Below are 13401 nucleotides of genomic sequence, written 5' to 3'. Positions count from 1 at the left end.
CAAGGAAGTGACGGCCCAAGAAGGATGTGTTTTCTCAGAAGCCTGGAAAGGCATCTCCTTCTCAACCTCCAGGGAAATCAAAATAGACACTCAGTGATGGGTCCTGAGCATTTCCAGATCCAAGGAAAGTTCTAAATTACTGGAATTAGATATGTTAAATCAAGACTATCATGACAACCTGACTTCAAGTCTTATTTGCTGAAAGTGCAAAGCAGAGGACGTGACCATTTTGTGTGTGCAGCACCCTTGTGATCTCACAAGGATGTTGCTTAATGACATATGGAAACCCATTGGGTAATTAAATAGTCTGAGGCTAATTGCGCCTGACTGTGTTATTCCAATGTGATGGGTTGAGATGTGCAATGGATAGGAGAAAACAGGTTTCTAGAATTGCAATGGGTGACTGTTTGCTCTGACCTTGATTGAATTTGAACATGGGGCACAGGATGCAGCGGGGCACAAGCTGACAGCCAGCACATGAGGAGTAGGGCAGACTAATTTGTCAGTCTGGCTTACAAAGGTGTCTTGTATTCATTTCAGAACAAATCCAACAGCTGTGATTCTGGCTTTTCCTCCAAGTAAAGGCTTATCTTCTTCTTCCCAAGCTAAATGCATCCGCAGAGCCCTCCAGCTCAACATCATTATTTGTATGGAACTTTTATATAATTCCTCCTTAAAAACACAAATATTCTCATTTGTGCCTCAAAATTGTGAAGGTTATTATTATCCCTCATCCAACCTCATTTTGCAGATGAAGAAATCAAACCCCAGAGAAACTGAGTAGCCTGCTGTTTACAAAGTGATGGAATCATGACTCGTGTCCACGTCATTCTGCTTGCAAATCCAGTGTCCTGCTGGACTCTGCTCTCACATTTTAGTTGGGAGAGGCCTGGGAGAACTGTTTTTGCCTTTAGGCAGACACACAGATCCTGAGGTGGCCCAGCCTGATGAAAGCAAATATTAAGAAAATGGAAATGGTTAGACTCAATGATTATTGTCATTTTCACTTTACAGTTGAAAATACAGAGCCTCAGGGTGAAGCCCTAACTTCCCACAGCAGATGGGGTCTATGAGGAGGAAGAAGTAGACGCATGGACCAGTCCTGTTATGAAGACAAGTTTCATGGTGCTACTCTGTCTCCATGAGCTCCTATGGCCCAGAAGCTGGCATCCTGTGAGTGGGTAGGTTGATGATTATGCCAACTAACCCTGCAGGGATTCATGCTGACTTTGAGATCCACTCACACATTAGTACAACTCCATAGGTTGTAGGACATTTTCCAGGCTGGAGCAAATAAGTTATTGCTTTCAGTAAATCCCCTCCCTCCTTCCCTTCCTTTTATCTTAGATTTGGGATGATGGAGTGGGCTGAGTTTTAAGACTATTCTCCGTCTGTTTATAATATTCTCTGGGTGACCACGTCACCAGAAACCTCTTGCAGTATTGAAGTCCAAATCCAACACAACTCTGTCACCAATCTATAAGCTCCATTTACCTCCATATTCCTAGTGAGTACATCATAACATCAGAGATACACAAAAGGCCGGGCGCAGTAGCTCACGCCTGTAATCCCAGCACTTTGGGAGGCCGAGACGGGCAGATCACGAGGTGAGGAGATCGAGACCGTCCTGGCTAACACAGTGAAACCCCGTCTCTACTAAAAATACAAAAAATTAGCCGGGCGTGGTTGCAGGTGCCTGTAGTCCCAGCTACTCGGGAGGCTGAGGCAGGAGAATGGCCTGAACCTGGGAGGCAGAGCTTGCAGTGAGCTGAGATCGCGCCAGTGCACTCTAGCCTGGGCAACAGAGCGAGACTCTGTCTCAAAAAAAAAAAAGAGATACACAAAAATTACTTACAGAAATAATAGGAATTATTTTGTGAAGTCCAAATAATATATATCAGGTTTTATTCCATGGTGTTATGTTTACAAGCAATTACTTGACTTGCAAAATCTGCTTGATATGAAGTGTGTTGTAATGGTTTTCTGCTGCTACTCCTCTGAAGTCCTGAGTGTTTCCACCATCCAGGGGGAAACAGCTAATATCTATCTGCCTGTTCTAAAACATTACGTGCAAGTACATACACACATAATCCCTTTCCATCTTCTGAGATTTAGCAAACGATTACATGTTGAACAATTTAGCAGTCTATTGAGTGACTTTTCATTTGCTATTAAAGTACGCAGATATATGGTCCTAGGGAATGCGCATGGGCTTTCGTTGTATATCTTGGGACCTACAATTTCTGGCATGTTAGGCAAGTTACTTAACTCTGAGGTTCTATATTTTGAACTGTAAAGTGAAAATGATGATAGTCATTGAGTTGCAAGGAAAGAAATTATAATGAAGTCATGAGGGGTCAGGTTTCCTGAGTTCGAATCCTTCTTTCACCACTGTAGTGGATGCTGTAGTGCTCCACTCAGATTCCAGAACTGAGAAACTCATGCCCATGGCTGCTGGAATTATGGGTTGTTGATATCTCACAGCCAAGTTTCTTCTCAGGAAATGTCCTCTCTTGGTCAAAGAGAGCTGCTCTGTCTAATGCTACACCCTTCTCCTGGGGACAGTCTGAAAGGCTTCAAAGTCTTGGCATTCCTTCTTCAATTCAGCCCTCCAGAAATGCCTGGGAAGTCACCTGTAACCAGTCTGACCCAGTCTTGCTTCTCTGACCCCCTGACAGGTCCTGGTCCAGAAAACACCCCCAATAAACTTTACACAAATAAATTTCCAATTCCGAGTCCGCTTCCTGGAGTCTTGGTAGTTCTGTGAAATTTACAGCTTATTGCATATAGAGGTCACATATATAATTACACATGGTGGAATTGAAATTGAAATTCTGATAAGAATCCTGTGATTTCGAGTCCAGGTCTCCTGTTGGTCTCCATGATTCTATTTCATTCATGAAATAGGTTGGAGGAACTCACAACACAATAGACCCCATATTTCAGCTCATTAATAATCAACATATTCTGGTCTCAGTGGCCATTATTTTTAAGAAGTTGTATACAACATTATAATCAGTGTGATCTAGTCAGGTTTTTCTACTACAGTGGGGCAGCCTGGAACTCAGTCAGATATACTTGTTTTTCTCAAGTCTTTATGAGATTCATTTTCATATTTTTAAAATTACATTTTGAACCGACACAGAGCGCAATTTTGGAGAGGTGATCCTATAAACGAACAAAGGTCACTGCCATTCATTCCTTCATTTACGGTTTTTTATTTTTTTTTAGACGGAGTCTTGCTCGGTCGCCCAGGCTGGAGTGCAGTTAAATGAAAAAACGTACCCAGACAGAGGTTCTAAAACAGCACCAAAATATTAATTTAATGAGTGGAGATTAGTTTTCTTTATCAACACTACAATTTTCTTTTCTTTTTTTTTTTTTTTTTTTTTTTGAGACGTAGTCTCACTCTGTCGCTCAGGCTGGAGTGCAGTGGCACAATCTCGGCTCACTGCAAGCTCCGCCTCCCGGGTTCACACCATTCTCCTGCCTCAGCCTCCCAAGTAGCTGGGACTACAGGTGCCCACCACCACGCCCAGCTAATGTTCTGTATTTTTAGTAGAGATGGGGTTTCACTGTGTTATCTAGGATGGTCTCGATCTCCTGACCTCATGATCTGCCCGCCTCGGCCTCCCAAAGTGCTGGAATTACAGGTGTGAGCCACATTGCCCGGCCCATTTATGTTGTTTTTAATCCATCTAACCAGCCACCATATATTGTGTGCTTCCCATGTACCACAACACATTCTGAGAACTTGCCACACATGCTCTACTTTCGTCTTCACATCAACAATGTGAATCTTAAGCTGTGCTGAATTTTGTCCAAAATGACTCAGATAGGAAAAGGCAGAATAAGGAATACATTCCAGTTGTCTCCAAAGTCCACCCTTTTCTAAGTGTCACATTATATTGTCCTTGCCACTGGCACACAGCTTAAATAAAAGTCAAACCATGAGAAGCCATAGAAAGTAATATCAGAGTACAGGTGAGAAGTTGCACTTACATAAATGATCATTCAAGACTTCCTGGAGAAGGCACGAGTTGTCCTTTGGAGTGACCAAGACTCACTTCCAAGTAGAAAGCTCAGTAATTTTGCTTGAGAGATAGCATGGAAAGGGCCCAGTCTTCAGAGTGTGGCTGACTTGAATTTGAGCTCTATCTTCATCTATTACTACCCATGTGCCTCTGGACATCTTACTTAACCTCTCTGAATCTTCATCTTGTCATTGTGAGAAACCTGATTGACTTGTTGTAAAGATTAAAGAAATCATGAAACACATCTAGTCCAAAACTGATACTATAGTAGACATTTAACAAGTGATGTTTGATTTAATTCAAGTCTCTAGGTTATAGTAAGACAATGGCAAAATATTAATTAATCAGCTTCTCCAGTTTGTGCGTTTGAGAAGGGTAAGCCAAAGGAGGACTTTGTTTTCATATCTCATATTGCATCGTTTGTCATAAAAATTACACATTTATACAAGCGCGCACACACACACACACACACAGGCACAAACACTCAGACATGAGCCACAATCCACAATGAAGGAGTGCTTAGAGTGCTTAGGCACCATAATAAACTTTCACATAAAGTACAGCAGTAGCATTCTTAATTAAAATCTCTAAAGTACTCTTGTTGTTGACAATATCACCACCCAAAGCCATATTTACCTTGTTAATTATTCAAGTTGCAGTGAATAAGAAACAATGCCCAGGCTTCCCATAAAATTTCCAAAAATTAAACCAGGGAAATGGGCAATAAATGTCATTTGAAATGGAACTGATGCCAGTTAATTACAAGACAACTGTAAAATAATGGGGCATGAGGTTCTTCAACAATGCCTAATTAGTAACTATATGGGCATTTCCTTGGAAAAAATGGCAATTACACGGTGCAAACACTTAGCAGTCATCATCAAAGGCCCTTAACCAATATTAGCTAATTAATCTTCCCTACAACACTCCAGCAGGAGGCAGCACAAGTCCTCATTGAGGGAGGGAGAAGGGAAGGCCAAAAGATGAAATGGAAAATCCTCTTCTGCTCAGCATCTGTAAAGAACAATTTGACACTCGCAGCCTAGAAGCACTCAGGAGGGATTCCCAGGCCAAGAGAGGCAGATTGTTTTCTTAATGATAAGGTTAATGTGGTGAACACCTAGCTTCCTCCTGATTTGCTGCCATGGCTCACATCCTTGCTGTCCTCGAGAACTCCCCACACCAAATTGCTGTTGCAGGCACACATGCACTCTTGCGCTTATCAACCCTTTTCTCTTTTTCTCAGCAAGAAGGCTTTTGACCTCAAATATATAAAACCAATGGGGGGAGAAGGAAGCTATGCCTCTTTCCACAAAGCCAAGCTTGTTATATTATAACATGATCCACAGCTTTTGATTTCAACTTAATGTATGAGATCTGGAATTATTTCAGAAGTATGATTGATTTTGATCAGGTGAAGATATTTTAAAAGAAGTGAATTATCTCTTATGTTACTTAATTTAATCCACATTAAAGATTTATGACAAAATCTCATTTGTGTCTAATTTTGTATTCTTTTACCTAAAGAGAGTCCAAAATTTGTATAAGTTCCAGGCCCAAGACAACCTAAGTCTGCCCGTGTATCTGGTTGAGTTCTTCCAACTCTCAGTCAGGGGCCATATTTTGTAGGATTCTGAGGCTCCGATGCCCTTTTGAGGTAGACTTAGTTTCATAAAGCAAAGTTAGGCTACATCATAAAATGAGGCTTGCACGAATTTTTCTCCACCTAATTCCATTTGTCTTATAATACACCTGATTCTTCCCATTTAAAAAGTTACAAGTTTTAATGAGAAAATGGATAAGAAGAAAGGGGTATAACTACTCCCGCTACTCCATTTTATAGATGGTGAAACTAGGCTATGCAGAGGTTAAGTGGCCTCCAAATATGGGATTTTATTAGTATTCCCATAGCTAATACAATAGTGAGCCTCACCCAGAACCCATCTCCATTTGATCCTAATGTTTTAGTTCTTTGTGAGTTTCCTTGTCACCTCTAACCTGCCTCTGAACTCATAGCTAATTGATATCCAGAAGGCATGCATAAAGAACATTTGGAATGGTACTATCCTAATAGAGTGTTGGGTGAGCCGAGATCCAGTGCCAGGTCAAATCTAAATATAATTTTCTTAAAGTAACACACACACTTCACAGAAGAGGACTCATGACTTGTTCCTTCAGTATCCCCCAAAATGTTCTTCTTCTTCCATTTTGGGGGATACTTGTTCCTTCAGTACCCCTAAAAATGGAAGAATATCACATAACATTCAGAGGATAAGTTTGACAGTCTGATAAGCCCAGATCAAAAAATCCTAGACTCTATTTGTTATCTGTAAAATGGGCACAATAATAGTACCTACCTTGTGAGGCTAATGTGAGGAATAAATGGACAAATGCTTAGGAACTGGCATATAGAACACGTGCAATAATTATTAGCTATATTTAAAAAATATTTTACACTATTAATGATCACTCCTTTACTGAGACTATACTGTAATAATGAACTGTGTTGGTTTTGTAGTCACACAACCTAAATTTAAATCTTGTATCATCTATTACTCTCTGTGTAACCATGGGGGAGCTACTTGGCCTCTGCATGCCTCAGTTTCCTTATTAGTAAAAAGGGTGTAGTGAGAGCATCTACTTGATCTTTTTAAGAGGGTTGGTTGCAGGGATTGAATGAGACAGTGTATGAAATCCTGGCACCTAGCCAATAACAAGAATTTGATAAAGTTAGCTATCGATATATTTTGAGTAGGCATACCTTATACACAGAGGGGACTCGGTCCATGTTTGAGCAATAGAATTAACAAAATTTATTTGACATTCACTCAACAAACGTTTGCTGTATACCTACTCTATAGTAGGCAGTGTCCTATGGGCTAGGGATTCAGAGAAAAATAAATACATAGTCTCTGCCCTCAGCTGAGATAATAGTGTCTTCTGGCACAGACAATTCAATCAGAATTATTAGATACATGTGGAGGAGAATTATTCTTTTTAGTGCATCCAGGAATGTTGAATAAATAAAGTGTTTAGTAGTTTCACAAAATTTCAGGAAAATACATTTTATCCAAATTCCTACACATCATTAGAGTTTATTTAATCTCAATTCTTACTTCAATAAGGACAAATGATGAATGAATGATGGCTCCTCCTCCCTGAAGTGACAATGTGTCCCTAAACATCTCTACAGACAGGACTTATTGTAAAGCAGCTGTTTCCACTGTTCAGTAGTTCTAAAGTCCCTCCAGCTATTGATTATACTGAAACCTCATCCCCTCAACATATCCACCCTTGGTGATTTTCCTTCCTCTAGTGCTCAGTGGAGAGAGTCTAACCCTTCTTCTACCCAACGGGCCTTTCTCATATGTCCATTCCCACATCTGAGTCACCATTTCTTTAAGCTAAACTTCCAGATGTACCATGATGAAAGTCTAATAGACATAAGCATCTCTTCTTAAAGATGAGCTTCCAGATGGCAGGAGTGACAACTAGGTCCAAGCTGTGGGTACTTGGCACCCACAGCTCTTAGTTTCAGAATCTCCTCCTCCCCAGGCTTCATATCAGCCCTGGCCATGCTTGTTAATTTGGGCCAAATCTACCAGAGTCCCCTCTCCTAAATCCTAACTGTTGGACTAAGCAGGGATCGGTCTCAGCCCCTGGATAAAGGACTGCTATCACATCTGTCTTTGAGGCCTTCAAAGACTTACTAACTAGAAAAATGACTAATGCAAGGATTTCAGGGCCCAAAACAGGGGGAGTGGGAGTCCTCAAAGTAATACCTGTTGGCATAAGGCCAAGGCCATTCTCTTCTAACTCATGGGTCCTCTTTCAAAGAAAAATTACTCAGTCCGCTCCCAAATTCCCGGGTCTGCTGACTCCTGCTACTGATGGGGCTTGTCTGCTGGACTTTCACATTCTTAACATAGTGTTCTTGAACACTTCTGAAAACAGGGGGCTTGTGAAGCAACTGCTTCTACTGCTCAATTCTAATGTTCTTCCATATCAAGATAAGCTCCAATTTTCCCCCTTGTCACTTCCACTTCTGGTCATTTTCCTTCTCTCTGGAGCTGGACAGAACAAGTGTAACCCCCTTTTGCAGAAATAGATGTTTGCATATTTGATTTATTGTGCTTGCATTTGCATTTCTGGGTCACTGCTACTTTAGCTTAAAACTTCACAGCTTCTCAATTGTTCTTTAAAATGATGTTCACATTCGTCATATGAATGTTTTCTGCTGGATATATATCCAGCAATGGATTCGTGCTTCTCTTAGGCTATGGCACCTAAATCTGACAGTCCTAATAAAGCTGAGCATTTAGGGAAAGGACAGACAATTCCACAGTGCCATGGTGGGATATTTGGTAAGAGTCTTCTGTATAATAGAGAGACCATGAATCACCTGGAAGTCAACCACTGAGTGGATTCTCTGCTATTATGGGAACATAAAACCTACAAGCTACCCGGTAATATCTTCCTATGCTTATTGACCCTAAAGGATGCCCATATCATTTTGGTTCTCCACATAAGGAAGATATTCACCCACACTTGACTCCCTCATGAGTCAACTCTCCACATCTGCTGTAAGGTTAATTCTTAAAACATGTTCATGATCAACTATCTCATGTGCCAGTCCTAATCCAGATGGCATTTGGCTTAACACTCTATTAGCTGAAAGAATGAAGATCTCTGAAAAATGAGACTTGTATGCCTTCTTTACATACATTTAGACTAATTTCCATTCCCCTCATTAAAGCTCTCTGTGATTGACAGAAGCTGATGACAACCAGATCTGCTGATAGAACTAAATATTTTCAGTTTTCTCTTCAAGGAAATAGACATCCAGAGCAATTTTAGAGATCACCATTTTGGTGAAAGTTAGAAGGAGAGCATATAGAAAGAATATATACATTAAGTCTGGCGCAAAAAAGGCCTTTGATTAGATGGAGGAAGAGTCTCAGGAAATACATAGACAGAAATGATCTTCTACTCACTCTCTCAGAAATAAAATCTCCAAGACAAATGCACAAATATACCCTGAGACAAAGATCTTCACTTATGCATGTAAAATCAACCCCTCTTTTCTGAGCCCCACACCTACCATAAAAGAGGCAGTCAGCACTGACCATAGAGTCCCTAGACTTGGATATGATGACTTATTCTGCTTCATATTGGCAAAGCATGTTAATCTCCTCTCTGAACTTCAGATAATGATAGTTAGCTGCTTGCAAATCTCAAGAATTATTGGGTTATATAGCTTAAGTTATATAAGTTGGTTAAAATGTTTTGTGTTACTGTGAAATGTTATAGAAAGGTAAAATATGAATAATGCCACATTCTGCCTCATCTGATACTCAGTTGTATACACTGCCCACTAGAATATAAATGCTAGGCAGCTAGAATTGCTCTCATCTCTGCCGTTTCAGTATCTAGCATAGTACCTGTCATGTTCTAGGAGCTTGATAAATGTTTACTGAATTGACTTCCATTAAATTGAATTACTAACTTGCAAGGTCTTTGGGGGCAATTGTAGAATCTCATTTTACATCATTGCCATTTCCTTGCTCAAAGCTGACATGAGGAAGTATGCAATAAATGGTGAGTGAATGAATGAATGGATGGAGAGGAATTGAAAAGATGATTCTCAACACCGAATGCTCTTTAGAATCATTTACAGTGCTTTCAAAAATTAATCTCTGGGTCTCTGTCCCAGAGAGTGATTTAAAAGTTCCCCAAGATATTCTAATGTAAAGTCAAGGTTGAGAATCAATGACTTTGAATGACAGGAAAATATAAGGAAGAGTCTGCTCCCTCCTTTTTTTTTTCTCACCAGTGTAGGTTTTACATTCTTAAGTGAAATAAAGCATTCCGAAAGCTCTTTTTTTTTTTTTCTGAATAAAGCACTCTAAAATGGAAGAGTGATGTTGCTACTGCTTTTTAGAAAATACTGTCAAAAAGTGGTTTTCTAGACTGTTGGCTGGTGGACCTCCCTGTAGCTATCACTTGGCAGGCACTTGACCCTATTATCTCAGTATAACTAAGCTATGAAGCCCAGTTCAACCGCCAAGGCCAGGACTCAGGACTTCTGCTGGCCTAATGTTCTGAGACGCTGCCACCTTGTGGGCACTCTGGAGCGACACTTACAACAGCTTCCTTAAAACAGGTGTATCTCAGATGGCCTTAGGTTTTCCTTGTTCTGTATATTCTGATATTTCTGGAAAATAAATATTTATAAGGAAAAGAGAGTTCTGGTTGCTCCATGAAGAGAATGCTACAGATGCAGACATGAACAGTAGGTATGGTGTGGAGTTTACATGAGCAGGATTGATTTATCCCTGTTGAATAGCAAGTGACAGAGGCCATGAGAGGACAAGGTACTTAAGGACAAAGAATTGGTTATGTCAAATCCACTTATAATGGAAGCCATCATCCTCAGCAAACTAACACAGGAACAGACAACCAAACACCACATGTTCTCACTCATAAGTGGGAGCTGAACATTGAGAACACATGGACACAGGGAAGGGAAAAACACACACCAGGGCCTCCCAGGGAGACTGGGGGAGGGAGAGCATCAAAAATAGCTAATGCATGCGGGGATTAATACCTAGGTGATGCGTTGATAGGTGCAACAAACCACCATGGCACACGTTTACCTTTGTAGCAAACCTGCACGTTCTGCACAAGTACCCCAGAATTTAAAATAAAATATATTTTTTAAAAATACACTTATAAGTCTTTACTTCCGTGAGAAAAAAAAAATACATATAAACAGTAACACAGATCTCCTTCCCATTTTTTAAGTAGACAACCGGAAGGCCCAGGAATTAATTGCCTTAGTCAAAGCCACATGGCAAGCTGCTAGATAAACTCAAATTGAAAACCAACGTTTTAAATCAGTATCTTCAGAAAATGAAATTTCTTTCCATCCTAAAAGAAAAAATTCAGGAACAAACATCAAAGTTCAAGACTGGACTTACATGTGTGTATATGGGAAACAAAATACCCACGTACATATATTATACAAGCATATACTTTTTATTATTTTATTTTATTTTATTTTATTTTTTATTTTTTTTGAGACGGAGTTTCACTCTTGTTGCCTAGCTGGAGTGCGATGGCACAATCTCAGCTCACCACAACCTCCACCTCCCGAGTTCCAGCGATTCTCCTGCCTCAGCCTCTCGAGTAGCTGGGATTACAGGCATGCGCCACCACGCCTGGCTAATTTTGTATTTTTAGTAGAGACGGGGTTTCTCCATGTTGGTCAGGCTGGTCTCAAACTCCTGACCTCAGTGATCTGCCCTCCTCGGCCTCCCAAAGTGCTGGGATTACAGGTGTAAGCCACCGTACCCAGCTTCATATACATTTTTTTAACTTCATAATGAGGATGAATTGGCTGATAGAAATTTTTACTTCATGAAAAATTGGACTTTGTGATACCGTTAAAGAAATACATTTTCTTCAAAGACACAAACGAATTCAGACAAATATCTTAATTTCCAAGTCTTGTCAGGTCGGCTATAGTGAATAGATTAGACTCACTGGTAAAGGCACCTGGAATCTAAATATCACGTATGAATTACATTCTTCACATACGTCTGCTTTTTCAACTGGATTAAATGGGTGATAAGTCGAAATACTTGTAACTGGGGCCAAATAGACCTGGTTTTGTGTGCCAACTCTACTACTACATGCTGTGATGTCTTGCATAATTTACTTAAACACCCTATGCTTCAATTTCCTTATCTACAAGGAAAGCTAATAATGAAAACTCACTAATAATTTTTATTGCTGTTAAATGAAAAAATGTACCCAGACAGAGGTTCTATAACAGCACCAAAATATTAATTTAATGAGTGGAGATTAGTTTTCTTTATCAACACTACAATTTTCTTTTTTCTTTTTTCTTTTTCTTTTTTTTTTTTTTTTTGAGACAGAGTCTTACTCTGTCACCCAGGCTGGAGTGCAGTGGCACGATCTCGGCTCACTGCAAGCTCCATCTCCCAGGTTCACACCATTCTCCTGTCTCAGCCTCCCGAGTCGCTGGAACTACAGGTGCCCGCCACCATGCCCAGCTAATTTTTTGTATTTTTAGTAGAGACGGGGTTTCACCGTGTTAGCCGGGATGGTCTCGATCTCCTGACCTCATGATCCGCCCACCTTGGCCTCCCAAAGTGCTGGGATTACAGGCGTGAGCCACCGCACCCTGCCAACACTACAGTTTTCTTTAAGTGTTCAGCTAATTGATCAAATTGCTCATCAGTGAGTGATCAGTGGGGCACAAATTATTTTGGTACCACACCACTTTAGATGTGAAGGATTTTATGAAGGTGCAAAAAATCAGACTGTTCAAACCATCAGAAAAAAGTATAAAAAGGATCTTTTTGGCAGCTAAGAGGAGTTGGGAACATTGCGGAATGGACCAGTGCAGTCATCATGGCGAGTTAAATGGTACATTTGGGCACCATTTTAGGGTATAATTGATTGGACTACAGCTTTAGACAACAGCCCTGTACTCAGCTCCCAAGAAGGCGCTGACCTTTGATTCTTACTTGACTGGGCGATGAGCCAGCTGGGGTCTAGAAAGCCAAATCTTGATGGAACAGAGCTAGGCTTCAGTGATGACAGGTCATGTATTCAAATATCAATGTTCAAGAGAATGCCAAGGTAAAAGGATCACTTGAGGCCAGGAGTAAAGACTGGCCTGAGCAGTATAGTGAGACCTTATCTACACACACACACACACACACACACACACACACACACACACACAAATACTGTTAAAGGATGTGACTTCAGAAGCTGAGATACAAAAATTTCTCCCCCTAAAAAAATCTCCAAGCCAGACACCAAACATAAAAGAGAGAAATTTGTACTGAAACTAAGAAACCTTTCTAAGGGCTACACCCCAGACAACGAATGCCTGTGTTCATCTCGTTTCTTTTTGTTTCCCTACAGTACTACTAGAAGGAAGTGTGGTGTTCCTGCAATGAATGAGCACAAGAGTTAAAGAAACTATTGTGGTGCAGGTGCTATCTGTATTTACATAACTCATGGGAATGGGAGACTAGAAATAGATGAGCAGAGCTTAAAAAATGAAATCGTTACCTGTTTTTATAATACAGTCTATATTAGTATGTTCTTGCATTGCTGTAATGAAATACCTGAGACTGGGTAATTTATAAAGAAAAGAGATTTCATTGGCTCATGGTTCTGAAGGCTATACAGGAAGGATGATGCTGGCAACAGCTTGGCTTCCAGGGAGCCTCAGGAACCTTACAATCATGGCAGAAGGCAAAGTGGAAGTAGGCATATCACATGGCTGGAGTAGGAGCAAGAAAGAGAGGGACGGGAGGTGCTACAC

This window comes from Homo sapiens, chromosome 8 (genome assembly GCF_000001405.40).
Source record: "Homo sapiens chromosome 8, GRCh38.p14 Primary Assembly".
Classification (NCBI taxonomy): Eukaryota; Metazoa; Chordata; class Mammalia; order Primates; family Hominidae; genus Homo; species Homo sapiens.
This window is presented reverse-complemented; position numbering follows the sequence as displayed.